A 27,649-nucleotide genomic window follows, 5' to 3' on the forward strand; every position below is an offset into this window, starting at 1 on the left:
TCCCAGTGGCCGTATCACCTCCTGCCATTCCTTTTGTCCTGCTGCACTGGCTTCCTGGAGATAGGGACCGTCTCTGTTTTGTTCATGGCTGAATTGTTTGGTGTATATCCCTAGGGTCTTGGATATGCCTGGCCCATGGTATTGCTAAATATTATAGAAATAAGCATAGCAGTAGCTTGCTTTCCACTAGGTATTTTGTTACATAGTGTTTTGTAAATTAATTGTTGATGGACCTACATTTTTTTTTATGTTAGTAAAAGTTAGGCAGTGTACATTCATTTAAATACTAAACTGTTCAACTTATTTAATAGCAGATATTTATTGTGTATAAGAGTCCCTGTGAAAGGGAGTGCAGTGCACAAATTGCCCGGGCAAGCCATGGAGCACACAGGCTGGGTTTTTTCCCTGCTAGATTATAAACTCCATAGGGCCAATACTGTGTTTTGTTCAGTGCACTGGATATGCCAGTGCATAGAAAAAATGCTGCCACATAATAAAAACAGAAATAACGTGATAGGTGGCCCCTTCAATGTTCTTTTCCTATGTTAGAAATTTACCTGCAAATATTAGCATCAGTCCAGGTTTCTCTCTGTTTTTTTTTTCTTTTTGTTTTTTTTTGAGACAGAGTCTCCCTCTGTTACGCAGGCTCGAGTGCAGTGGCGTGATCTTGGCTCACTGCAACCTTCGCCTCCCAGGTTCAATCGATTCTCCTGCCTCAGCCTTATAGGCACACGCCACCATGCCTGGCTAATTTTTGTATTTTTAGTAGAGACAGGATTTCACCATTTTGGCCAGGATGGTCTCGATCTCCTGACCTCAGGTGGTCTGCCCGCCTTGGCCTCCCAAAGTGCTGGGATTACAAGTGTGAGCTACCGCACTCGGCCTCAATATATTTTTTAAATAGGAATGTATACAAGGAGGATGTCTTCATCTAGACTGAGGAGGGGACCCCTGGACTGAGACCTTAGAGTAGGAGAGAACTAGGCGGAGAGAGGGAGAAACTGTTTCAGGCAGAGGAAGCAGCATGTGAGAAGAACCTGGAGGCAGGAAGGAGCTTAGTGATTTCTGGGTTTGAGGAAAGCCCAGTAGCAGGAAGTGAGCAGAGGCCAGATCATTCAAGGCTTCCTAGACCAGGAGAAGAAGTTTTAGATAGTATCTTGAAGGCAGTGGGAAGCTTTGGAGGGTTTTCACCAAAGATACGTTGGTGAAATCTAGTATATACCTTCAAGATACATTAGAAGATAGAATTGATAGACCTGGTAATAGCTATAGGTGGTGATGCCCAGCATTCTGGCTCAGGTGAATGGCAGGGACATTCACTGAGATGGGGGCATGAGCAGCTGAGTGGAGAAGACATGGAGTTCAGTTTTGATCATGTTAAGTTTGAAATGTCTATGAGGTATGGGGTAGAGACGTCATCTGGGCTCTCTGTTCTGGGGTCAGGAGCGTGCTCTGGGCCAGACATATACATGGAGTCAGGGCGTGGTGTATGTGGAGGGGAGTGGAGGTTGATAGTTCAGACAGGAGGAAAGAAGAGGGCCTGAGAAAGATCACTGATGAAGTGAATACTTTAACAGTGTTACAGGAGCTGGCAAAGAGTCTGAGAGCAGGAAAACCAGCAGAGCGCGGTGTCACTCTTTCTTTTGGACAAATATAACATTTTTTGAGAAGCACTTTTTAGAAAAGTTTAAAAATATAAGAAAACTTCAAGATGAAAATATAAGTTATCTTTAGTCTCAGCAGACATAATATCTACTTTAATATTTTGGTATGTGAACTAGTTTTTTATATTTAACATATATACTGTATCAGAAAATGGAGTTATACTTTATATGGTTTTATAGCCTGTTTTACTATCTTTAATAATATTTAATGACTATCTTCCTTATCACACATGCTCCTGCAACTTCCATTTTTAAGGGCTTTTTGGTATTCCAGCAAATAGGTCTGCCATAATTAGTTTTTCTTTTTTGAGACGGAGTCTTGCTCTGTCACCAGGCTGGAGTGCAGTGGCGCGATCTCGGCTCACTGCAACCTCTGCCTCCTGGGTTCAAGCGATTCTCCTGCCTCAGCCTCCTGAGTAGCTGGGACTACAGGTGCGCACCACCATGCCCAGCCAATTTTTGTATTTTTAGTAGAGATGGGGTTTCACCATGTTGGCCAGGATGGTCTCGATCTCTTGATCTCGTGATCCACCTGCCTCGGCCTCCCAAAGTGCTGGGATTACAGGTGTGAGCCACCGCGCCCGGCCTATGATTAGTTTTTTAAAAAGACCTGCTGGAAAACTTTTAAGTTGATTTTTATATTTTCATTATTATAAACAAGCATTCTGTAAATAACTCTCATTATATATCCATGATGATTTTCTGAGGATCAATGTCTGGAAGTGGTAAAATAGACTGCAAAGTTTTAAAAAGTTTTTTTCACTATGAATTGTCAAATTGTCCTCCAGAAAATTTGTGCTAATTCATGAAAATTCTTTAGCAATCACTTATTTTTTTTTAAAGAAGCAATTCTTTGCAATGAGACTTCTTAAAAGGATATGTCTGTCTTTGTATGATTTTAAAATGCAGTATGTGAATAGGGGTAACAAGAGTTCAACTAAAAGTTAACTGACTTTAGGTAGATCCCATGAGAGCTAAATGTTTTTCAATTTTAAATGAATAGTGATAAGTATTTAGTGTTCAACGTTTGGATAATATCAGTTATTAGGAAATTGAAGTTGTGAGGATGAAGAGAAAAATCCCGGAGTTTTTTCCATTAACAATTCTCCCAGATATTAGCATTTGGTTAAACCAAGCACTTAAAGGAGTCCGGGATCGCCATGGGAACTCAATAGAAAATCCTCATCTTCTCACTTTGTTTCATCGGCTCTGCAAACTCTTATTTTTTCGAATTCGTCCTATTTTTGTGTTTGATGGGGATGCTCCACTATTGAAGAAACAGACTTTGGTAAGTGTCGTATAGTTTTTAGTAAGTGTCAAATAATTTTTTTCTTTCTGCATTCTTAGAAAAATTCACATAAAATTTTTGTTTTCTCTTTAGAATTTTAGAAACAGACTTATTTTGACACATACTTAATTACATCTACTTTTTTATCTTGAACAATTAATTTTTCTTTTAAAAAGTTTTATGAGAGTTCATCATGGGTACAATGATAAAATTTAACTTTTAAATAAAACTAACTACTAAAAACCTTGCTGTTGAGAGTTTTCCCTTCAGAGGATCTTGTTAGGTGTTTTATATTTATTTCAAGGATGCGGCCATCACTCAGAACACTGTGGAAACCCTCTTTTGGGAAGTGCCTCCCTGAATCTGAGATCAAGTATCCTCCGTGATAGCAAGCCTTCTTTTAAGGGGAATTGGATTTTAGGAGTAAGCAATGTTATGTGGTGCCAAGTGGTGACTAAAGTGGATTATCTAGGAAGGAAATTGACCATGATATAGAAGAGTCAGAATGAGTTGCTGCTTTATTGTTCTGGAAGTAGTTTTAAAAAATGTTTTTGGAAGGCCGGGGGCAGGAGGATTGCTTGAGCCCAAGTCCAGCCTGGGCAACACAGGGAGACCCCATCTCTAAAAAAATGACATAAAATAATGTTTAAACAGTCCAAATGACAGCACCCATTTGGATATATGACTTTTATTTGTTGAAAATACCAAAGTAATGAAATGATGACTTTGTAATCATACCAGATACTCTCTAAATGAGGATATAGGATAAAAGTAAGGATATAGGATAAAAATAAAAAGCATTTATAAATGCTGGGGGACCTTTGTTGCCTCAGTAAGAGTGTCTAGTCTTGAATGTTGCAGTTTTCAGTTACCCAAGGCATACTGTAAATCAGGTACTTTGTGGAAGGATTAGAAAGGAAAAGAGAATATCTTGGTTATTTTTATCCGATATTCAGCCATAAGCACAGGGACTATCCATTTGTCACTACTTGAACATTTCTTACAAGATATTTCTATACATTTTAGAATTTCTCATGATATATAATCTTGAATATTGAAGGGCAGAATTACATGTAAGTAATGCATGTTTATAAAAAGCAATATTAGAAATTGTTTTTGGTGTCACTGTGACATTTTATAGAATAAATAAATAATTTCTTTTGGGAAGCATTTAAGCTTTCCACTTCTTGGGCATATTAAAAGACATTTAAAAGAAACTGAAAGTAAATTAAGTTTCCCAAATATATTGTGTAGTAGCCCATTAAGTAATAGATGGAAACTCTGGGTGTCCTTTACGTAGCAGCAACCTGAAGATATACACTGATATGGCAATTAGGAGGAAATGCTAAAGCAGCCATAGTCTGAAAACTCAGACAAACCAAATTCTCTGGAAAATAAATCACAGCAATGTTTCTAGTGGTCTAATATCCTGAAGTGAGATCTTACATCCTTTCTTCTCATAGGTGAAGAGAAGGCAGAGAAAGGACTTAGCGTCCAGTGACTCCAGGAAAACGACAGAGAAGCTTCTGAAAACATTTTTGAAAAGACAAGCCATCAAAACTGCCTTCAGAAGCAAAAGGCAAGAGGAAAATTATAGTCGTGTTAGAGATGAAGTTTTAAAAAAGTGATTTTTGTCTTGATTTCCTGCGATTCTCTTTCCCTATCTAATTTTGACTCTCAACAGAAAATAGAGAGTGAAATGAGACAAGTAGGCTGCCATTTTGACCTGGTAATTTGGAGTTGTGGCAATTCTCCGTTCTGTGAGAATCAACTTTGCTAATGAGAAAAAAAAGCTGTCGTGTTGCGTCATGTACACTTTTTACTTTGATTATGGTCTTCTTGACTCTAGGTGAGCAGCCCCGCCAAGGTTCCTTCCTTTCTCTCGGCTGCATTTATTTTCCACAGCAGTGGCCTGAGAGCAGCCAGGTCAGGTCCCTGTTCACCATCCTGAGCAGGGTCTGCATAATCTGTTTAAAGATTTGTGTACTTTCCAGAGATGAAGCACTACCCAGTCTTACCCAAGTTCGAAGAGAAAACGACCTCTATGTTTTGCCTCCTTTACAAGAGGAAGAAAAACACAGGTAAATGTTTAACTATTTAAGAATATTATTTTAGTCATTGCTACATTCAGACACATTTAAACCTTGATGTGTTATCTACATGATAAGGCATGTGAACATTTCTTAATGCATCTGAAATAGGCATGCTCTATACCTTTCAGAATATTTTTCAAAGACTAAATTTTTTATTTACTATTCTTTGTGTTTTGGTGATTCATGATTCTTATTCCTCTTCATTCTAAAGAACTTCTGCCAGGGCTGTGGATTCTAAATTCTCCAAGGCATGAATTTTAGTTTTGCTTACACTTTGCTTACACATGCTGTCTCTAGCTGCTTTTCAATCCAGTATGGTCTCTCTCACCATGATGCTAAAATACCACAACCCATGACATTCTTGTTGCTAAATCTAGCAGACGCTTTGCACGTCTTAGTGTGCTCGACTTCTCTGCACTAAACACCATGCCACACTGCCCCGCTCCCCCGGCATCTCTCTGGCGCTTTCTGCTCAGCCTCTCTGTGGACTCCTCTTCCTCTGTCTCTCTCTTAATGGTTGGTGGTTTCTGTGTTTGAAGTGAAGGTGGAGAACCGGAAGCTTGGCAGTTTGCCTTTGTCCCCTGTCCTTCCCTCCACCTCTTCCTTTCCCAGGAGTTCCCAAGAGACAACTTAGCTTTTGTATCAGCTCAGTTCTATTTGTCTCCATTGCTACCACTGTCATTTTTTCTCCAGGTTACATTATTAGCTTTTAAACTTCTTTCTGTCTTTGTCTTTGATCATACCCTTTTTGTAATAGTTCCTCCCACCAAGCCCAATCTCTGTTTTGTGTTATAGTCTGTTTAAAATCCAAATCTGATATTGTCATTTCCTTACTTAAAACACTTTCTAGCTTCTCCTTCTCATTTTTTTCTTTCTTTTTTTTTTGAGATGGAGTCTCTGTTGCCCAGACTGGAGTGCAGTGGCACAATCTCAGCTCACTGCAACCCCTGCCTCCTGGGTTTAAGCGATTCTCCTGCCTCAGCCTCCGGAGTAGCTGGGATTACAGGCACGTGCCACCACACCTGGCTAATTTTTTGTATTTTTAGTAGAGACGAGGTTTCACCATGTTGTCCAGGCTGGTCTCGAACTCCTGACCTCAAGTGATCCACCTGCCTCGGCCTCCCAAAGTGCTGGGATTGCAGGCGTGAGCCACCACACGCAGCTTAGCTTCTCATTTCTTTAGGATAAAACTTTAACTCCTTAATTACACTTTCCAGTCTTATCCCTGCCTTTCTTCACATCATCCACAGGCAGGCTTTCTTTTCCTTGTTTCTATATGGTCATACAACTTAGTTCTTTTGCCTGGAACACTCTTCTCCATGAACCTTCCCGCTCCCTACAACTACACTCATTAATTCGTGGCTAACTCCAACCAGTGTAATTGCAGGAGATCCTGGAAAGCTTTTGTGACTCCTAAATTGGGTGAGGTGACTCCCTATTGCATCTCTAGTGACCTGCCCTTCCCTTGTGGTGGAAGTTATTAGATCCCACTCTAATTGCTTACTTACACGTGTCCCCCACCAGACCATGAGACCAGTAGTGGCACAGATCTTGCTGTTTTATTCACCACTGTAGCCCGTATAACGAGCAGAGCCTTGCATACAAGTATTTTTGTAAGGGGTCCTTAAAAATCATAGATATCGTAAAAGTATGTTTGACTTTCAGTTCAGAAGAGGAAGATGAAAAAGAATGGCAAGAAAGAATGAATCAAAAACAAGCATTACAGGTATTTAGATCATTTTTGAATTCAGAATGTATTCTGTTATTTGAAATGAATGACATGAAAATGAATATTAATGAGGTATATCAAACTGTGAAAGTTCCTGATAAAAAGTAAAGACAGATGGCTTTTTGGTTGTGCATATATATGTGTACATGTATGTATTTAAAACACACTCACCTACACACGTGTATATATATATATATGGAATTTGCCATTATGCACATCTATATATTCAAAACAAGCTATTTTTCTTTTACAACCAACCAACCAATAGTAATATGTGCTTACATAGAAAATATAGAAAACATATCATTCATAAATAACTTGTAATAACAGTTTGATATATTTTCATCCATTCTTTGCCTGCCCCATATAGTTGAATATCTGTGTGTGTATTTGTATATATGTATCAAATGTGCATGTGTACATATATATGTGTACACATATGTGTGTATGTTCTAGTTATCTGTCGCTGTGTAACTTAGTGGTTAAAACATCATTTGTTATCGTCATCTGTCTGGGTTCCAGGGGTAGATGAGCTCAGACAGGCAGTTCTCTCTGGGGTCTCTTGTGTAGATGCAGCCAGTCTGTAGCTGGGGCTGGAGTGATTAACGAGGTTTCCTTGCTGCCATGGGCGGTGGTTGATGCTGGCTGTCAGCCAGTCTTCCATGCGGCCAGCACCAGAGCACCTACTTGTGGCCTCTCCACGTGGCCTGGGCATTTTCCCAGCATGATGACTGTATTCCCAGTGTGGGCATCCCAAGAGAAAGTTCTAAGCAGAAGCCCTGTTGCCTTTCTGACCTAGCTTTGGAAGTTGTGCAGCATCCTTCCCACTACATCCTGTTCCTCAGAAGCTAGTTACTGCCCTATGGAAGGGGCAGAGAGTTAGACAAGAAGAATGTCCCACACATATTTTCATGAATAACATTTTTACAAATTGAGATTATGCTGTATATATACATTTTTTTCATAAACATTTTTCAAGTTTCTTAGTGTCACAGATAGCATTTTTTGATTCCCAAATTCACTGTTTCTTGTTTGTTCATATGGTTTTGTTCTATCAGGTAGAAACTTTTGAGCTAAAACCTCGAGATCCTTCAGGTTGCGGAGGTGCTGTGCTATTAATGCAGCTAGTGAGAGCAATCTTAGTTAAGACCATGGGCCTCGTGGTCAAAAAGACCTGCGTTTCAGTCCAGGCTCCACTGTTCACTAGCTGTGTGATCTTACACAGATTAAATTCTCCAAGGCTTTATTTTTTTTTGTAAAACGAAATTGATATCAATGCCTTCCTGATGGGGGTGATGGGAGCATTAGTGAGGGAAAGCACAGGAAATGCTGAGCGCAGTGACAGGTCTGTCCTACGTGTTTGCTGGTTGGTACGTACACATGTAACATACAGACATGCAGGACATCAGGTTGTATTAGCTTATCTTTTTTACTAATGAAGGATTTTAAAGTACTTTTGGTAATGAGTTAAAGTTGAGAAAAGTTTTACACTTTTCCATGTCTTCTGTGAATTTCTTTTAATTTCATTTCTTATGTTATAAGCAAAATAAAACTAACTTAATTATGGGAATGATATATATTGCTTGAATTCCTAAGGCACATTCTGTCTTGGGTTCTTGCATTTTCTGTTCTCTCAGCCTGAAATGCTCTATCCTCAGTGAGGCTCTTTGATATCTTCCAAGTCCCTGCTCACACATCCTCTTTTTAGTGGGGTCTTCTTTATCTATCAAATAGATCTTTTTTTCCACGTTCTGTTCATGTAATCACTCTCATATCAGATAAATCTGCTTTATTTTACCATTATCTTGTTCATTTATTTATTTATTTATTGTCTTCTCTCCTCTGCTCCTAAGAGCAGGGACCTTATCTGGCACCTTATCCGATCTCACAGTACCTTAGCACCTAGAACAGTGCCTGGTGCCTTAGAGGTACCTGCTAAGTATTTTTTTCTTTTGAATGAATTAAAGAGTGAATGGCTACATTCCCTAATTTGCCTACTCACTTTGTTGCCTGTCACAGATTATATGCAACTGTGTTTAGCCAATTGTTGATTATGTAGAACTGTGTTTATTATATAAACATAATACATATCCTTAATGTTGAATAGAACTAAGTGTATGAAATGTAAATTTCATGGTGCTGTGATTTTATCTTTACAGGAAGAGTTCTTTCATAATCCTCAAGCGATAGATATTGAGTCTGAGGACTTCAGCAGCCTGCCCCCTGAAGTAAAGCATGAAATCTTGACTGATATGAAAGAGTTCACCAAGCGCAGAAGAACATTATTTGAAGCAATGCCAGAGGTGAAATATGCAACAGTACATTCATGCTTAGAATTAAGAACTTCAGCAAAACTTTTTATTAGAAAGAAGAGAAAATTGATAAGCAATACTTACACGATATCTCAGTTAACAGTAAACAGCATTTCTACATCTCAGATTCTAAGAAGCATCGTATATTTATACGTTTGAGCCTATAGACATTTACTCTAAGAAGTTTTTCTTGACTTTTGACCCGAGACTAGGTCTTTTTTCCTGGTCTTTGTTCTCACAGCACCCTGTAATATCACTTCATAGTTCTTAGTTCCAAAACACGCTTATCTTGCTCACCTCTGTATTTTCAGTGTCTAGCTCAGTATTTTTCACATGGTATGTGTCCAGTAGATGCTTACTGACTCAATTCTTAGGTTAGGTCATAAAAGTTATTGTAACCTATAATATACATTGTCTATAAAAACTAATAGTCATATAGAATCTAATCACAATGGAAAAATAAGTTCTAAATTGAAATTCCAGGTATATCTTCCTCTGCTGCAGCCCTAGAGATGCCATTGGCTCTCCACATTCCCTTGCCCTCTTCCTGGACAGTGCGAATGGGGCTTCTTCACCTTGGAACATCTTGTAGCTTGGCAGGCCCAGAAAGCTAGAGTGGAGGTGGTATGTGCAGTTGGGTGCTAGCAAATGTGTCTCCTGATCATGCTGCCATTGATACTTAATTCATGTTACTATTGATGACTCCCTGTCTTAGTTGCCAGTGAGTGAGTTCTTTTTCTCTTTCTGTTGCTGCTACCTGTTATTTCTACCGTAGTTCTCCATTCACCCACTATAGGACAGAATCGAAATTTTGCAGCATCATCGACCTTAGTGCATAGATGGAGTGTTTTTTTATTTTCTACAATTTTTGAATATTGCTTAAATTGATAGCAGAAATATGAAAAAGGAAGGGTAAATTTCTTTTCTCATCACTCCCTGTTTTTTCCACAAAGAATGTGCAGTAGCACACACTAAGGTGCACAGAAGTGACATTCTTGGGTCTTTGGATATACAAAGGACAGAAGTAAATTGATTTTTATTTCAGGAGAAAAATCCAGGCTCAGTCTGTCTATCAGGCATTTTATTTCTTGAGTATGAAAGGATCTCTGGCTGGCAGTTGAGGAAGTAGAATTTTGGTTGTGTAAACAATAACAGGAAGAAATGGGAGAAAGAGAGACAGTCCCTAATGATTTACTGTTCTTTATTTTCTTTCTGCAACCATGAAGTCTCTGGAAGTGGTGGACTGTAGGGTGGTGTGGAGTAGCAGCTTACTGGATCTGTAATTTTGATAGAGATGTTCTAAGTCATCCATGTTGGGCCTTTGTGTGATCTGTATGTCGTGCAAATGTAATATTGATAATAGTAGTGATGGTAGGTAATAATAGCAGTAGTAATAATCATAATACCATAGTTCCACTTTACTCACGGTTTGCAGTTTTCAGTGACCTGTGGTAAACTGTGGTCTGAAAATATTAAATGGAAACTTTCAGAAATAAACAATTCATAAGTTTTAAGTTGCACACCATTCTGAGTAGAGTGATGAAATCTCACACCCTCCTGCTCCATCTTGCCTGGAACGTGAATCCTCCCTTTGTCTAGCATCTCCGTGCTGTAGATGCTTCCTGCCTGTTAATCACTGAGTAGCTGTCGCGGTGATCAGATCAACTGTCGCGATATTGCAGTGCTTCTCCTCAAGTCACTCTTATTTGACTTAATGATGGCACAACAGTGCAAGAGTATGATGCTGGCAATTTGAATATGCCAAAGAGAAGCTGTAAAGTGCCTCCTTTAAATGAAAAGGTGAAAGTTCTTGAATTAATAAGGAAAGAAAAAAATCGTATTCTGGCTGAGGTTGCTTAGATCTGCATAAAAATGACTTTTCTATCTGTGATATTGTGAAGAAGCGAAAAGAAATTGGTGCTAGTTTTGCTGCCGTACCATAAACTGCAAAAGTCATGACCTCAGCGTGTGATAAGTGCTCAGTTAGGATGGAAAAGCCATTACATTTTGGGGTGGAAGACATGAAGAGAAACATGTTCTGATTGATGACAATCAGGTTTGGTACTTCTGCAGTTTCAGGCATCCTCTGGGGGTCTTGGAACATACCCCAAGGATGAGGGGGCTGTCTACTATGTTAATAGAATCAATTGTAGTAAATTGACATGCTTTTGATCCCAGATCTACCACTTATTAGCCCTGTGACTCTAGGGAGGTTACCTAACCTATTTAAGTCCCAATTTCTTCATTTATAAAATGGAGGTGATATCTGTTTCATAGGATGATTGTGAGAATAAAATGAGGTATTATATGTAAAAGCACTTAGAAAAATGCCCTCCATGGGAAATGCCTTATAATGTTAAGTATTACTGTTAATAACTGTGATTACTGTGATTTATTGTGTCTTTTATGGGATAAGGTTGTGCAGGACACTTCACTTGCATATTTACCTACATTCTAGAAGATTGTTAAGCCATAATCAGATGTCATAGTGACTGCTATGCATTACATGCTCAATACATGTTTATTGAATAATGATTAAATCATAAACAGTATTCATGATTTTTTTTTTTTTTTTTTTGAGGGGAAGTCTCGCTCTTGTCCCTCAGGCTGGAGTGCAATGGCACAATCTCGGCTCACTGCAACCTCTGCCTCCCCGGTTCAAGTGATTCTCCTGCCTCAGTCTCCTGGGTAGCTGGGATTACAGGTGCCTGCCATCACACCCGGCTAATTTTTGTATTTTTAGTAGAGACAGGGTTTCACCACGTTGGCCAGGCTGGTCTCGAACTCCTGACCTCCGGTGGTCCACCCATCTCGGCCTCCCAAAGTGCTAGGATTACAGGCATGAGCCACCGCACCTGGCCATAGTATTCATGATTTTTTTTTGCCCAACTCTTTCGAAGATTATTTTTTTAAAAGGAAGCTGTAGTTTTTCTTGTTATTCACCTTTTATAATATGAAACTACCATCAATGAAAAAAGCCAATTGTTCTTTGTTCCCTGTTGGGGAAAGGGTGGAAATATGGTAATATTATCTGTATTTAATATAAAACAGTAATTTTGTTTGTTTATTTTGCCTTTAGGAGTCTGATGACTTTTCACAGTACCAACTCAAAGGCTTGCTTAAAAAGAACTATCTGAACCAGCATATAGAACATGTCCAAAAGGAAATGAATCAGCAACATTCAGGACACATCCGAAGGCAGTATGAAGATGAAGGGGGCTTTCTGAAGGAGGTAGAGTCAAGGAGAGTGGTCTCTGAAGACACTTCACATTACATCTTGATAAAAGGTATCAGGCACCATCATTTATATATTTACATTAAAAAATCAAAGATATATCATGACTCTGAATTCTATAAACTAGCACCCCTGGATAATATTAATGAAATTCTATTTATGTAATAACTGTATACTGCTATTAATGGATTAACTACTATAGTGCCAAACCACTTTAAAATTAGCTAATGAATTAACTCCTAGTTGCCGATTAAATGAAAATGTATATACTTATTTATGAGAACCAGTGTTCTCTTATCCATCTTACTAGAAGCGTATTGTCACACTGTAAAACTGAATGGTGAGAAGTGTTTTAATTCTTCTTAAGGTATTCAAGCTAAGACAGTTGCAGAAGTGGATTCAGAGTCTCTTCCTTCTTCCAGCAAAATGCACGGCATGTCTTTTGACGTGAAGTCATCTCCATGTGAAAAACTGAAGACAGAGAAAGAGCCTGATGCTACCCCTCCTTCTCCAAGAACTTTACTAGCTATGCAAGCTGCCCTGCTGGGAAGTAGCTCAGAAGAGGAGCTGGAGAGTGAAAATCGAAGGCAGGCCCGTGGGAGGAACGCACCTGCTGCTGTAGACGAAGGCTCCATATCACCCCGGACTCTTTCAGCCATTAAGAGAGCTCTTGACGATGACGAAGATGTAAAAGTGTGTGCTGGGGATGATGTGCAGACGGGAGGGCCAGGAGCAGAAGAAATGCGTATAAACAGCTCCACCGAGAACAGTGATGAAGGACTTAAAGTGAGAGATGGAAAAGGAATACCGTTTACTGCAACACTTGCGTCATCTAGTGTGAACTCTGCAGAGGAGCACGTAGCCAGCACTAATGAGGGGAGAGAGCCCACAGACTCAGTTCCAAAAGAACAAATGTCACTTGTTCACGTGGGGACTGAAGCCTTTCCGATAAGTGATGAGTCTATGATTAAGGACAGAAAAGATCGGCTGCCTCTGGAGAGTGCAGTGGTTAGACATAGTGACGCACCTGGGCTCCCGAATGGAAGGGAACTGACACCGGCATCTCCAACTTGTACAAATTCTGTGTCAAAGAATGAAACACATGCTGAAGTGCTTGAGCAGCAGAACGAACTTTGCCCATATGAGAGTAAATTCGATTCTTCTCTTCTTTCAAGTGATGATGAAACAAAATGTAAACCGAATTCTGCTTCTGAAGTCATTGGCCCTGTCAGTTTGCAAGAAACAAGTAGCATAGTAAGTGTCCCTTCAGAGGCAGTAGATAATGTGGAAAATGTGGTGTCATTTAATGCTAAAGAGCATGAGAATTTTCTGGAAACCATCCAAGAACAGCAGACCACTGAATCTGCAGGCCAGGATTTAATTTCCATTCCAAAGGCCGTGGAACCAATGGAAATTGACTCGGAAGAAAGTGAATCTGATGGTACGTGTCTGTGCTTTTGTAGAAATCTGGAACGGTAGGATTTCCCCTCTGTAGGAATTCAGAGATCGGTTAGTGTAGTCCCGTTTTAACTTTTTACAGATAAGGAACGAGAGACGTAGAAAGAAAGATGAAATGACTTTCCCAGGGAGTCACAGCTGGTCATGGAATCTTGACCTTCCCTGTGTTGCTCTGCTTTTTGTTATCATTTTTAAAGGCATGAAGTGCCCTATTTGGGGAAGGTAAAGTTGAGTTTCCCTCTAGTTTTTAAAAACTTTTTATTTTGAAATAATTATGAACTTTAAAAAGTTGGAAGAATATTATAAAACACTGGTTCCTTCATCCAGTACCTCAGTGGCTAGCATGTTACCACATTAGCTTAGAATTTCTCTTGGTCTCTCTGTGGCCCTCTATATGTATATCATATATCTCCAAATCTGTATACATATGTATACCATTGATCCTCATTATTTGTAGATTCCATATTTGCAAAATTGCCTGATCACTAAAATTTATTTATAACTCCAAAATCAGTACTCACCGCAATGTCTTTGTGGTCATTTGTGGACATTTGCAGAGTTGGGGAAAAGCTTGAGTTGCCACACTGTCCCCTGCTGAGGTTAAGCAAGGTGACACTCTGCCTGGTTCCCGTGTTCTGAGAGAGATGACCAGAGGGTGGGGACAGTAGGGGATTATGCAATGGAGAGAGAGCAAGAAGCTCCGGCCCCAGGCCAGTTGGACCAGATTTGAATCCCTATTCTGGCACCTGTTAGCGTGGCAGCTTCACACAGGTCACTAATTTGTTTCTTGAACTTTGTTTCTTGTTTATAAAATAAATGGAATCTATTAAGATGGTGGTTTTTTAGGATTTAAGATAATATATATGAAATGTGTTCATATATATGTTATATATGCATATGTGTGTATATGCACATAGATATGTTTAGGAGCAATGACTCGGTATTGGCTAATTTAGTGTTCACAGAGACTTCATACGTGATGGCCACTTTGAATAAGAGAATCAACCACACACACACACACACACACACACACACACACACACACAATTTGTTCCTGGTATCTGCTAGTTTTCTTCATTCAAATGTTACTATTTCCCTTTTGTAATTAATAAGTATTTTGTGGAAAAGGAATTTTTGGAGCTATATAAATATGCTGTTCCTGAACAAACTTCCACCCACTTGTTAGCATCCATTGATGTTTACCTGAATAATTTGTTACTACGTTGGTTGCCAAATGATGGTTTTTCTAACTCCATCATTCCTTATATATTATTACTTGACATCCTCCTATGAGGAAGATCTTTTCCTTCTCCCCATTTATTTTTATTATTTTTAATCAGTGTAGACTCCTGTATTCCTATTTAGTGAGTTATAATCCAATACTGTCATAATTTACTTTGTTACTCAAATTATCACAGCTTTGGCCATTGGGGCTCCTTCTAATGGCTTTCAGCAGTTTTTTCATTATATTTTGAGCTTTTCCTTGCTTTCTGGCCAAGCTGTTTCAGGCATATGTTGTACTTTCTCTGCCCTGGTCCTGGAACCAGCCATTTCACCAGGGAGCTCTGGTTCCTTTCAGTGGAGCATGGGGTTTAGACACCACAAGCTGGATGTGAGTGTGCTTATGGATCCTGAGGTATAACTGTCTCAGGCCTTTTCAGCAACAGTGCCAGGAAGTATATTTATGTATACATATACATGCACACACACATCTATATTTATTTCTATGTCTATCTGTACTAAAATCCATGAGTTTATACTGACATCTGCAATTCCATGGGGTTCAGTCTAGCCTCCTGCTTCTTTATAGTTTCCCTAACAATGAGAAACATTGCTCCCCTTATCCTCAATACATTTACATCTGCTTATTCTCCCTGGATATGTAACCATCTCCCCCTCCCACTGGCCTCCTCCTTGGCCCTGCTCTCTTCTTTGCTTCAGCTGTGTCCTTGGTGCCAGCTCCCAGTCCCTGAGAGCCCCCTCCTCTGTTCTGATTGTCTCCTTAAACCCAGCTGGACAGGCCTTGCCAGCCCTCTCCACCTACAGGGAAGGAAGGCAACCATTAAATATATTTTAAGGAGAAGGAAAGACAGTAAGACAGTAAGAGAGGAGAGAAGGGAAGTGGAAGAGGAAGAACTATTTCTTAGTCACAGCTTTATTCTGTGCTGTGTAAATAGCATAAAAACATACTGAGCAACTTCCATGATTGTTTATATACTTTGATAATCCTCCTTTTTGAATTTTTAAAACAATGTCAGTTAACTTAGAACATATTTATATAAAGCGAATATACAAATCTTAAGAGAGTTTCCTACTTTCAAAGACAGTGCCAGTTTACCTAATTGAAAAGGCTTGTTTTGAAGTTACAGGCATTTGTGATTACATTTATTTATTAATAACGCTACTATTACATGTATTCTGTTATAGTCATATCTTTCCTTTTTAGGATGTAGCATTTTTCAGGTTCCTCCAGAAAGCTCTTGATGATTGCAGGATCATTTTAATGTTTTGATTGTAGATGAAGTGACCTTTTAATTTTGGTACAGGAAGTTTCATTGAAGTGCAAAGTGTGATTAGTGATGAGGAACTTCAAGCAGAATTCCCTGAAACTTCCAAACCTCCCTCAGAACAAGGCGAAGAGGAACTGGTAGGAACTAGGGAGGGAGAAGCCCCTGCTGAGTCCGAGAGCCTCCTGAGGGACAACTCTGAGAGGGACGACGTGGATGGTGAGCCACAGGAAGCTGAGAAAGATGCGGAAGATTCGCTCCATGAATGGCAAGATATTAATTTGGTAATACCGTAACATTGTGTTTCGACTTCTTGCTGAGGAAGCCAGGTTAAGTAGGTTTTGAGTTTTAAGGAGTTGGTGGATGAGTATTTAGTAGCTATTTGCAGTACATCTTGTGGTTGCTGATGGCTTCATTTTTGTGTAGGTTACTGGCTGGGATAGACTCCGTTTTCCATGTGGTTTAGTGATGAATCTCTAAAGATATTACAGAGTCTTGGTTAGACATCCAGTGGAGTACTTCCTAAGGAGAAAGAGCTTATTGGTAATTTCAGTCAGACTAAATGCAGGCTTTTTGTAAACAAAACTCATTTGGATTATTAATATAAATCTATAAATGAAAAAACATTTTATAGGAGGAGTTGGAAACTCTGGAGAGCAACCTCTTAGCACAGCAGAATTCACTGAAAGCTCAAAAACAGCAGCAAGAACGGATCGCTGCTACTGTCACCGGACAGATGTTCCTGGAAAGCCAGGTGGGTGCAGGCAGCTTGGGTTTCCTTTACCACCTTCTTCAGACCCCTGGGGGAATGCACTGCATGAAGGGGGTATGCACTGTGCCCCCTGGTGCTCAGGGCCTGGTGATGCCGTTCCCTGGGGGTCACTGTGTGTCCCTAACTCTGCAGGAATGAATGCATTACATGAAGTGGTAGGCACTGCTCCCCCTGTGCTCAGGGCCTGGCGGTGCCCTTCCCTGGGCGTCACTGTGTACCCCTCACTCTGCAGGAACTCCTGCGCCTGTTCGGCATTCCCTACATCCAGGCTCCCATGGAAGCAGAGGCGCAGTGCGCCATCCTGGACCTGACTGATCAGACTTCCGGAACCATCACTGATGACAGTGATATCTGGCTGTTTGGAGCGCGGCATGTCTATAGAAACTTTTTTAATAAAAACAAGTTTGTAGAATATTATCAATATGTGGACTTTCACAATCAATTGGGTAAGACTTCAGAGTCTTTTTGATTACTTTCTGACATTTACCTTCAGAGTTTGTCCTAGGAAGTTTTCTTTCCAAGGAACTAGTTTGATGCATTGATGGAAATTGCAGGTCTATGCAAATTTTTATATGAGTGATCTTTGGCTTATATAGAGGAATAGGATTTTAAACATTTGAATTAAGGAATTAAAGTCCTAGTATGTTTAGGTAGTTAATCAACTGACTTAGTTAAACTTTGACTAGTTACCCGAGATCTCCACAGTGAACAAAAGGTGGTGGAGAGGGGAAGCAGGCCGCGCCTGGGCCTGTATTCGGGTTTCTGGCACTGATCTTCTTCTGTTCATCCAGCAAATATATGTTTGGTGACTCCTATATGCCAGTTGTTCTTAACAAGAGGGAAGGAACAGAGAGTAAAATAGTAGGAGAAACAGATGATAAGCAGATACATAAATCATAATTTGACAGTTGGTGGTAAGTGCCAAATAGAAAAATATAACAGTAAAGGAGAGGAGAGAGTGAACTTCAGGCATCGAGAGTGCAGGTGCTGTTTCAGAGAGTTGTTGGGAAAGGCTTTACTCGTGTAACTTCAAGGCAGGGACCTGCAGGAAATAGGAAGCAAGCACTGTAGATAGATACCTCGGGACTAGTGAGTGAAAGGGGCTGAGGCAGAAGCTTGTGGGCTGTGTTCTAGGGAAGCAAGGAGGCCAGTGTGAGAGGAGGAGGGAGGAAATGGCAAGGGTTAATCTTAGAGAATAGGAAGAAGCTGAAACCCACCAGGGTCTGGTGTGCTAGGGTATGCAGGCAGATTGAATGTGGGGTGGGAGAAGAATGAAGTCGAGGAGGATTCCAGATACTGAGCAGCTGGTCGAGTGGACCTGCCTTCAGTAAGACAAGGAGGGAGCACAGTGGAGGAGGAGAAACGAAGTGTTCAGGTTTGGATATGATAAATTGGGGATGCTCATTGGATACCCAGTGGAGGTGTTGAGTTGATAGTTGAATATATGTGACTGTGGTTCAGAGAGACTCAGGCTAGATAGCTAACTTTGGGGGTCAGCGTATAGAGGGTATTTAAAGCTATGAGAATGGATGAAACTTTAAAAATATTAACAGAATGCCATTGAATAAAATAATTTATTTTCAAATAATAAGATATTTTTGGTGGTTGGATATAGATATAGATATACACACGTACATGATTTATATAATAAAATGTTTATAAATGTCATATAAGAAATCTTGATAAAAATTAAAAAATATTGTTACTCTTTAGGATTGGACCGGAATAAGTTAATAAATTTGGCTTATTTGCTTGGAAGTGATTATACCGAAGGAATACCAACTGTGGGTTGTGTAACCGCCATGGAAATTCTCAATGAATTCCCTGGGCATGGCCTGGAACCTCTCCTAAAATTCTCGTAAGGTCTTTTATTTCTTTAATTTGGATAATTGTGTAAATACCCAAATAAGCAAATAGAACTATTATTTACAGCATGAACTGTCATGCTGTAACATGTGAACAATGGTTCACTGAGAAAGCAGCAGAAAGTATTGGTTGTTTTCCATTTTCTAGAGATGATGAAATCAGAGTCAGTTCTTAGTGGTGCTGGGCTTATCCTAGTTCAAGGGTACAAAGCCAGTCCTGTGGATTTCACAGGAATGTAGAAGTTGCCTTTTCATCCATTGACATACTTATAGAGCAGCTATGATGTGTCAGACACTGTGCTGGCCCTGGGGAAAGGAGAGATGAGTAAGGCATAGGCCATACCCTCAAGGACTCCCCCCATATACTTGGAGGTGATGGAGAAGCAAAGCAAATTGTACTTGTCTGTGTGTTTGGTGTCCTGAGAGAGGTCAGCCAGGAAGCGACTTGGAAATATAATGCCAGGAATGTTACATCCAGCACTCCTGTCCTGTTTCTCACCATGTGAATCCCGTGACGTGTTCAGTGGTGAAGTCTTGCTCCATCCAGAACCCAGAGTCGTGCTATACTCGGGGTACATTTATCATTTTGAAGATTCTGAGATGGTAGGAGTTATGAGTATGTCTGGGAAAGTAGTTTTTTCTTTGTCCTTGATGGCATCTTTTTAAAAAATTGAAATATAGTCACATACCACAGAGTTCACCGATTTAAAGTGTACAGTTCATTGGTTTTTAGTGTATTCACAAGATTGTGGTGGCATCTTTTAACCGTCACTATGTCGTGAGATGCTGTTTGGTGGTGGCTGATTTAATGATCCTTGAGTGTTCTCTCCAGTTACATATCCTGTGTTTGAAAGATGCTAGGATGCTCTGACCTGAAGAGTCAGTGACTGGAATCACTGAAATGAACGGCGAAACTGTTGTAGTGATCATGGTCTTCCAGTCATAGCACACTCACCAATGTGTTGTATTTTATACTTTCTTCATTTATCTTTTTCTGATTTTCTTATTGTTGAGGAAATTTATATACCGGGAATGAGTTATGAGGTAGACATACGTCATGGTAGGTAAATAACTTGAAAACCTACAAATAACTTTATTATACAAATAAAGTAAATACATCATAGAAAATTATAAATATGTATTAAAAAGATGATTACAGTTTACAATTTGTTTATGTAATTTTAGACTTCACACATATATATGCATATACATTGCATATATATGTATACTCATTTGAGTGTGTGTATGATTTTTTTTATAAGAATGGGATGATGCTATATACTTTTTATTTTACCTGTAACCCATTTGGTATTAGAACAAGACCTATTATCAACGATGATATAGATTTATATCGTTTTTAATGGCTACAGGTAGTATCTTTTTGCGTCTATCAGGGCTAGTTTAATCAAGTGTCTTTTGTTATTTCTATTTTTAGAAAGGTATTAACAGACATTGATTTGAGTGTCCTTAATCTTCGGGTTCTTATCTAATGATTATTTTAGAATAAGTGAAATAGTATCTGACTTTTCCATTTGGTTTCTTGATAACTATTGAGAGTGAATTTTTTATGTTCATAGACGGTTTGTGTTTCTGATTTAGTGAATGACCTGTTTATGCTGTTCCACTTTTCTTTGTTCAGCAGTTTTTGCTCGTTTGTTGCCTGCTGAATCATTTTCATATTTGAGCAGTTTCTGCCTTTGGTCCTCCAGCTCGTTGATGCCAGATAGGAGCAGCCTTCGCTCTGCCTGGCTCAGGACATTTAGGATGAATACAGAGTAAAGAGCAGGAAGGATGGTGGGAAACCAGTAAAATCAGAATGTGGCCTCACTTTGTTTTCTGTTCTCCTCTTCTGAGGGCACCCTGGCTGGTGAATCATTCTTAGAGTGGGGCTGCATTGGGCCTGCAGGTTGAATTGAGCTGTAGTCACATTTGGTTTGGACTACACGGTGTATTCTTCTCTTGAGCTTTAATTTTCAATTGGCTACCAACATTTACCTTTGGGAGATTTTACACAAAATTATGGATTCTGTTGGGGGAAAAAGGAGAGCTGAAAATACTGGGCCTGAATTTCTGGATAGCCCCAAAATAGCTGGCATGGAGCAACAGCAGTTCCCCTCCCCTACCCCAAGGCCTTGGACTGGGCATGAATCCTTCAGTTTCATCACAGTTGCCTCCACTCCCCCAGCTCAGCTGATTGACAGACACCTTCCTCCTTTCATCTTTATGTGAAGTGCCAGGCCCTCCTGCTTGAAGGAGTAACCATAGCTTTGGCTTGATGAGCTCACAAGTGCACTGATTCTAACTGCCAGTCATGATTACAGTTTCAAAAACGAAAATCTGCAAGTAAAGTAGAGGAGAATTATCGGTATTCTCTCAGTGCACTCCTGGAAAGAATGTTGTAAAAGTAATGAAGAAAAATTATTTTTTCCTTTTTGCATTTTGTTGTTATAATACTTTGAAGACCGCAATTAGTAATTTCCAACGCTAGATGGCACTCCTGCATCGGTGAGGCGGACCCTGGCCCTGACAGCCGGTCTGAGTGGGTTCCTAATGCTGCACTAGCAAGCTTGTGAAGCGGGGGAGCCTGAGCTGCGGGCGTTTTTTCAGGTTCCATTGAGTACATAGATTGGTGAGGATTATGTTAGTAACTTTGATGGCATTTATTTTTTCCTAATTGTGTAAATGTTTCTGGTCAGTCGTCACTGCATTACAAACTACCTTCAGCCTTAGTGGCTTCACACAGCAGTAGTCACTGATTTTGCTCATGCCTCTGAAGCTCGCTCAGGCCTGGTGGGGGTGTCTTGTCTCTGTTCCATGTCGGCTAGGACAGCTCAGCTGGGCTAGGACCCCTTAAGATGGCTCGCGGGGCTGATGAGGTGGCTTCGGCCTCGGGGCCTGGGTGGACACTTGGTGAGCTTGGCTTCCTCATAGCATGTTGGAGCCAAGAGCAGGAGGTCCAGGGGACAGGAAGTGGCGAGGGCCTCCCCTAGGCCTGGCACGGCTTGAGTCACACTGGTCAGCCATGGCCGCCCTGCTCAAGAGGAGGCCACAGGGACCCCCTTCGTGATGGGAGGAGGGTCCAAGAGTGTGTCGCTGTCTTTATCCGGCCGATTTAGGCTTAGAATGGAAAACATTGAAAAATGAATAAAATATAAAGAAGAAAATGAATGGCTGTGTGCTCACGTAGAATATTGCCTAGCACACAGCGAAATAATAGTTGTTAGTGTTATTTATTTTAAGTATCTGTTTACTTTTCTCATATATGTGTTTTTTCCAAAACTGGAATCATACTTTAAGTAGAGTTCTATTATCTCTGTTTTTGTATATATTTATTTGTTTTACATACATATGTATTTATATATATATAAAATGTTAAATTTTAAAAACAGATACATGTATCTGTTTTTACAGATTTTTTAAACAAATTTAACATTTTCTTGGCATATTTACATTTTATTAAATATTCTTCGATCCATTATTGTATTTGATTTGAGGTAAATAATACAGATACATTACTTCCATTTTACTGCTGAGAAAGAGACCCAGAGAAGTTGTAACTTCTGTGGTATAATTATGAGTGTGGGCTCTAGAGGAAGACTGTACCAATTCCAGCTGTGAAATCTTGAGCCAGTTACTTATTTTTGAGTTCAGTTCCCTCCTCTGTGAGGTGAGGGTAACGATAGGGCATGGCTTGTGTGATGATTGGGCATGTGAAATATTTAACACAGTGCCAAGCACAGAGGAAGACTTCCATAAATGTTTGCCATCATTATACATTGTGGCTAATAGTACTAAAATTAATAAAATATTCTATATAGCATACAATTTGAGTTAGAACTTGAGTTTACATGTTCTAAGTTTAGTTCTTCATCCATAGTGTATGAACTATAATGTCTCATTGCTGTGTAAGTAATTGTTTCCTTTATTTTACAGAGAATGGTGGCATGAAGCTCAAAAAAATCCAAAGATAAGACCTAATCCTCATGACACCAAAGTGAAAAAAAAATTACGGACATTGCAACTCACCCCTGGCTTTCCTAACCCAGCTGTTGCCGAGGCCTACCTCAAACCCGTGGTGGATGACTCGAAGGGATCCTTTCTGTGGGGGAAACCTGATCTCGACAAAATTAGAGAATATCCTTTGCTTCTTAAAAGAGAAGGAAACACCTTGTCAAATATGTGTTTGGTTTAAAACTTATGGAAGAGAAACTTGGATCATTTTTTTCTTATATCCCGTTAATCCCATTTTCTTAATATCCCGCTCTCCTTTTCACTCTTTCTTCCCTCTCCTCAGTTGTTGTTTTTTGTTTGTTTGTTTGTTTTAAAGGAACAGTGTATCACTCTGTCACCCAGCCTGGAGTGCAGTGGTGCAATCATAGCTCACTGCAGCCACCACTTCCTGGGCTCAAGGAATCCTCCTGCCTCAGCCTCCTAAGTAGCACAAGCCACTGCATCTGGCCCCTCTCCTTAGTTTTAAAGAGGGTCTTTGTTTGAATAAGCAGTGATAAGCATTCATAGATATAACCACATACTTAAATATTATTGATTCTGAAAGAAGGAAAGATGACTAATCTTGTCCTTTTTATTACTGGTTGTCCTTTCCGTGTATATTTAAGTAATCATTTGGATAGATGTTTCAAAACTTGCACTAGAATTAATCCAACTACGTTTGATTTTTTCTCTTAATGAAATAGGCAAGATATCTGAAACTTGTTTTTATTCCAGTTAACCTTTTTTCATAGTCACAAGTCTTTGATGTCCTAAAGTGAGAGCTAAATATGTTTTATTTTATAGAATTGAAAAGAACATAGTGCCAGATGATTATGCTGGAGTCATTTATTTTGTTAGTACTTTCTTTTAGCACTCTAATCTTTATAAATAGGAAAATCTTAGGAGATACAGGGAATGGAATCAAGAATGGGTTCTTTGGACCTTTTTATTTGTCACTTGTTTAAATATCTTTCAAAATATTTATAAGTCTTAACTGCATGCATATTTTGTCAGCGGTATTTCGGCTGGAACAGAACGAAGACAGATGAATCTCTGTTTCCTGTATTAAAGCAACTCGATGCCCAGCAGGTAATCATGGTGGACCCTTCTCCTAAGTTCAGGATGAAGGGTAGGCTGTGGTTGACAGCTGTTAAAGACCAGTTAACTCTTATTTTGGGGCATAGAGCAGACATTTTGAAATTAGGATAATTTAGATGAGAGAATAGAAGAAAATAGAAAAAGAAAAGTTAGACTTTGGCTTCATTTTCTATGATCACTCTTAGGGCTGAACTTTGGAGTCCTTTCATATTCATTTTTTTCTTTGAAAAAACCAGTCTAATAACTGATTTCACACTAAGGTGTTTCTGATTAAATACATTACCCCTTGGGATTTACTTTCATTTTTTAACGAAAGGAAGTCTTCAAAGCAATTCTGATCATTTAAGTTTTTATAAGTACTAATATTTTTAAATTCTATAAACGAATCTTGAAAGGTAGAAGTTCAGTCATTATTGTGTATCAGTAGGAGAGGTTTTTGTGGGAAGGAGCCCTTTTGTATGACCTTTAGTTCCTCTAGGTACCTACTTCTTGCTTTATCTGTGAGTATGTTCTGACTCACACAAAACAAGCTTTCGCCCACACTAGAAACAACCCACAAAACATACATACAAATAAACCACTTAGCAGAAATGAGAATGTAGCTTTTGTGATAATATATTTAAATTAAACCCATTTTCATTAGGCTTGGATAATTTTGAAAAACATGAACAAAACTAAGACAGCATTTCTATGAGTTTCTCTTTGTTTTTTGGATGACTATCTACTGGAAACATTATAAACCAACCAAAAAGGAAAGCTATTTGTCTTAGTGTCTGGTGATTTCTTAATTTCAGATAAATTTTGTTGTAATATTTATCTCCTTTTTCATTCTAAAACTTAATGTGTTTATTTTTCCAAAATTAGAAAATGAAGAAAATGAATTAAAACTACTCATTAGTTACCTCCTCTAATACAGTTGTTAACATTTAGGTTAAAAAATTTTCCTGCATTTATTTGTGGCCATACTAAATGTAACTTAATAGATCTAATCCTCCCCCCCAACTTATTAGCATATTTTCTTCTATGTATTGTGTGGTTTTCTTAATTCCAGATGACTAGATTATATTTCATGAAAGATATTTAAATAATTAGTTCAGTTTACTTGTTAGACCTTTAATTTTCAAGTTTGTTATAGTAATGCTGTGATGAACATTAGGCATATAGCTTTACCCATATATTTTTTTTTTGAGACGGAGTCTCACTCTGTCTCCCAGGCTGGAGTGCAGTGGTGAGAACTCGGCTCACTGCAAGCTCCGCCTCCCGGGTTCACGCCATTCTCCTGCCTCAGCCTCCCGAGTAGCTGGGACTACAGGCGCCCGCCACCACGCCTGGCTAATGTTTTGTATTTTTTTAGTAGAGACGGGGTTTCACCGTGTAAGCCAGAATGGTCTCGATCTGACCTCGTGATCCACCCACCTCGGCCTCCCAGAGTGCTGGGGTTACAGGCGTGAGCCACCATGCCCGGCCAAAGAATATCTTCTTAAAAGTGAATTTACTGAATAAAAGGCATGAATATTTCTTACAGTTGCTAATATATACTGTGAACTTGCCTCTCAAAGGTATTGTATGATGATAATGTTTTTAAAAGAAAGATATAGTAGGACTTAGAAACAGGCCCCATGAAGTCGTGTTGCTCCTGAGGAAGATGAAATGTTTAGCTACAGAAAAATATTTAACGCTCTTTGAATATCTTAGGAAGAGATTTCTCATTTGAGATGTGGACTAAAGACTTAGTTGACAGAGATGGTACAAGTACTGCTTTAGGTATGATTTAGAAAGTGAAAATTACTGTCAGTAATTCACTGGGAGAGAACTGGGTTTTGGGAGATAATGAATTAATATTCTCTGACATAGTAATCCAATGTGAGTGATCAAGGTTGAGCTTGTTGATTTGGTTTAGAAACTTGACTTACTTGTCTGATTTATTATTATTATTCTTTTGTTATTTTTTTAGACACAGCTCCGAATTGATTCCTTCTTTAGATTAGCACAACAGGAGAAAGAAGATGCTAAACGTATTAAGAGCCAGAGACTAAACAGAGCTGTGACATGTATGCTAAGGAAAGAGAAAGAAGCAGCAGCCAGCGAAATAGAAGCAGTTTCTGTTGCCATGGAGAAAGAATTTGAGCTACTTGATAAGGCAAAAGGAAAAACCCAGAAGAGAGGCATAACAAATACCTTAGAAGAGTCATCAAGCCTGAAAAGAAAGAGGCTTTCAGATTCTAAAGGAAAGAATACATGCGGTGGATTTTTGGGGGAGACCTGCCTCTCAGAATCATCTGATGGATCTTCAAGTGAAGATGCTGAAAGTTCATCTTTAATGAATGTACAAAGGAGAACAGCTGCGAAAGAGCCAAAAACCAGTGCTTCAGATTCGCAGAACTCAGTGAAGGAAGCTCCCGTGAAGAATGGAGGTGCGACCACCAGCAGCTCTAGTGATAGTGATGACGATGGAGGGAAAGAGAAGATGGTCCTCGTGACCGCCAGATCTGTGTTTGGGAAGAAAAGAAGGAAACTAAGACGTGCGAGGGGAAGAAAAAGGAAAACCTAATTAAAAAATATGTATCCTCTATAATTAGTTATGACAGCCATTTGTAATGAATTTGTCGCAAAGACGTAATAAAATTAACTGGTGGCACGGTCTTTGTATTTAGTGTGTGGTTCCTAAAAACAAATGCTAAATCTGACATTTGTTTTTTAATGTTTTACTTTTCTAGTATTTTTTAGCTGAATATTTCAAGTATCATTGGATATTATCTTGTATTCACAGGCTTTGTCTTTTCATGTTTTCATTATCTTAACAATGTCTGATCCTTCCTGGTCACATGTTAAAAAAGCGAAAAAGATTTCTATTGATCAGCACTCACTCTCAATAGGCTTTCCCTCTGACATTCAGACGTAGCTGAGAAGAAATACGTGCATGTTTCTAATTCCACAATAGTGGCAGTTTTACACAACTGTTTAGCCCTGCTGCCCACGGCTTTGCATTTTCCCTCAGGTTCCACTTAAAAGCATAGCAGGAGGGAGCCTCACTGCTGGAACATATTTCAATATGTTTGCTGTGGTTTTAGCAAACAATTAGGAAACCTAAATGGGGTGCATCATTCTACCTGTGAACATTAAGTGTATGGGAACCTCTGTACCGTTATGTTTGGCTTTTAAACCAGACTTCACTTATTAGAAGCTGACTTCTGTGTAAATGGATTTGGAGGCTGGGGGCTGGAGTTGAACTGGTGTAGGTGGGTCAGCTTTAGGAGTGGCCTGCAGGGGATGATTGTTGTTGACACAGTGTTTGTTCAGAGTGGACAAAGAAGGTTATTTTAAGACTGCTCCTGTGGAGACGTCTCCCAAGAACAACCCCCAAGCTCCTATTTGCTTCGAGTTAAGAATGATTGGAGGAGAGTACTACCAATTACTTTGAGCGTGGGTCCTCTGCCTTCAGAGCTACCTTCCCAAGTCTGTGTCCTTTTGGCATCTTTAGTATTTCCATCTTTCCTGACTTTTTCCTTCAGCCTTCAAATTGAAAATCTTCACCAATGAAAACAAAATCCAAATAGATAATCTCCAGCAGTCTTTGAACGACTCCTAGATGTGTTGTTTTTTAGGCTCTCATTTATATTGACTTGGCCAGCCAAACT

At 39.4% G+C, this 27,649-nt stretch overlaps 2 protein-coding genes across 2 annotated transcripts in view, besides 1 other annotated feature; both read left to right on the plus strand.

The window, feature by feature from the left end:
- The window catches only part of BIVM-ERCC5 (BIVM-ERCC5 readthrough), a 68,850-nt gene extending 42,196 nt beyond the window's left edge, over positions 1-26,654 (plus strand). The window contains exons 10-23 of the mRNA NM_001204425.2: positions 2,777-2,952; positions 4,416-4,531; positions 4,947-5,033; positions 6,711-6,771; positions 8,934-9,077; positions 12,166-12,373; positions 12,689-13,762; positions 16,326-16,570; positions 16,921-17,040; positions 17,291-17,504; positions 18,772-18,916; positions 22,857-23,057; positions 23,918-24,002; positions 25,966-26,654. Coding sequence (NP_001191354.2) covers positions 2,777-2,952; positions 4,416-4,531; positions 4,947-5,033; positions 6,711-6,771; positions 8,934-9,077; positions 12,166-12,373; positions 12,689-13,762; positions 16,326-16,570; positions 16,921-17,040; positions 17,291-17,504; positions 18,772-18,916; positions 22,857-23,057; positions 23,918-24,002; positions 25,966-26,562 — 3,473 coding nt within the window. The 3' untranslated portion in view covers positions 26,563-26,654. The remainder of the gene's footprint in view (positions 1-2,776; positions 2,953-4,415; positions 4,532-4,946; positions 5,034-6,710; positions 6,772-8,933; positions 9,078-12,165; positions 12,374-12,688; positions 13,763-16,325; positions 16,571-16,920; positions 17,041-17,290; positions 17,505-18,771; positions 18,917-22,856; positions 23,058-23,917; positions 24,003-25,965) is intronic.
- ERCC5 (ERCC excision repair 5, endonuclease) overlaps positions 1-26,654 on the plus strand; it is a 29,964-nt gene extending 3,310 nt beyond the window's left edge. The window contains exons 2-15 of the mRNA NM_000123.4: positions 2,777-2,952; positions 4,416-4,531; positions 4,947-5,033; positions 6,711-6,771; positions 8,934-9,077; positions 12,166-12,373; positions 12,689-13,762; positions 16,326-16,570; positions 16,921-17,040; positions 17,291-17,504; positions 18,772-18,916; positions 22,857-23,057; positions 23,918-24,002; positions 25,966-26,654. Coding sequence (NP_000114.3) covers positions 2,777-2,952; positions 4,416-4,531; positions 4,947-5,033; positions 6,711-6,771; positions 8,934-9,077; positions 12,166-12,373; positions 12,689-13,762; positions 16,326-16,570; positions 16,921-17,040; positions 17,291-17,504; positions 18,772-18,916; positions 22,857-23,057; positions 23,918-24,002; positions 25,966-26,562 — 3,473 coding nt within the window. The 3' untranslated portion in view covers positions 26,563-26,654. The remainder of the gene's footprint in view (positions 1-2,776; positions 2,953-4,415; positions 4,532-4,946; positions 5,034-6,710; positions 6,772-8,933; positions 9,078-12,165; positions 12,374-12,688; positions 13,763-16,325; positions 16,571-16,920; positions 17,041-17,290; positions 17,505-18,771; positions 18,917-22,856; positions 23,058-23,917; positions 24,003-25,965) is intronic.
- Positions 16,347-17,546: an enhancer, noted in NCBI's record as "BRD4-independent group 4 enhancer chr13:103518038-103519237 (GRCh37/hg19 assembly coordinates)". NCBI's record gives its function as "activates an origin of replication core promoter dependent on BRD2, P300/CBP, MED14 and CDK7 cofactors, and independent of BRD4, by STARR-seq in HCT116 cells {active_cell/tissue: HCT116}" and the evidence as "EXISTENCE:reporter gene assay evidence [ECO:0000049][PMID:35650434]".

This window comes from Homo sapiens, chromosome 13 (assembly GCF_000001405.40).
Source record: "Homo sapiens chromosome 13, GRCh38.p14 Primary Assembly".
Classification (NCBI taxonomy): Eukaryota; Metazoa; Chordata; class Mammalia; order Primates; family Hominidae; genus Homo; species Homo sapiens.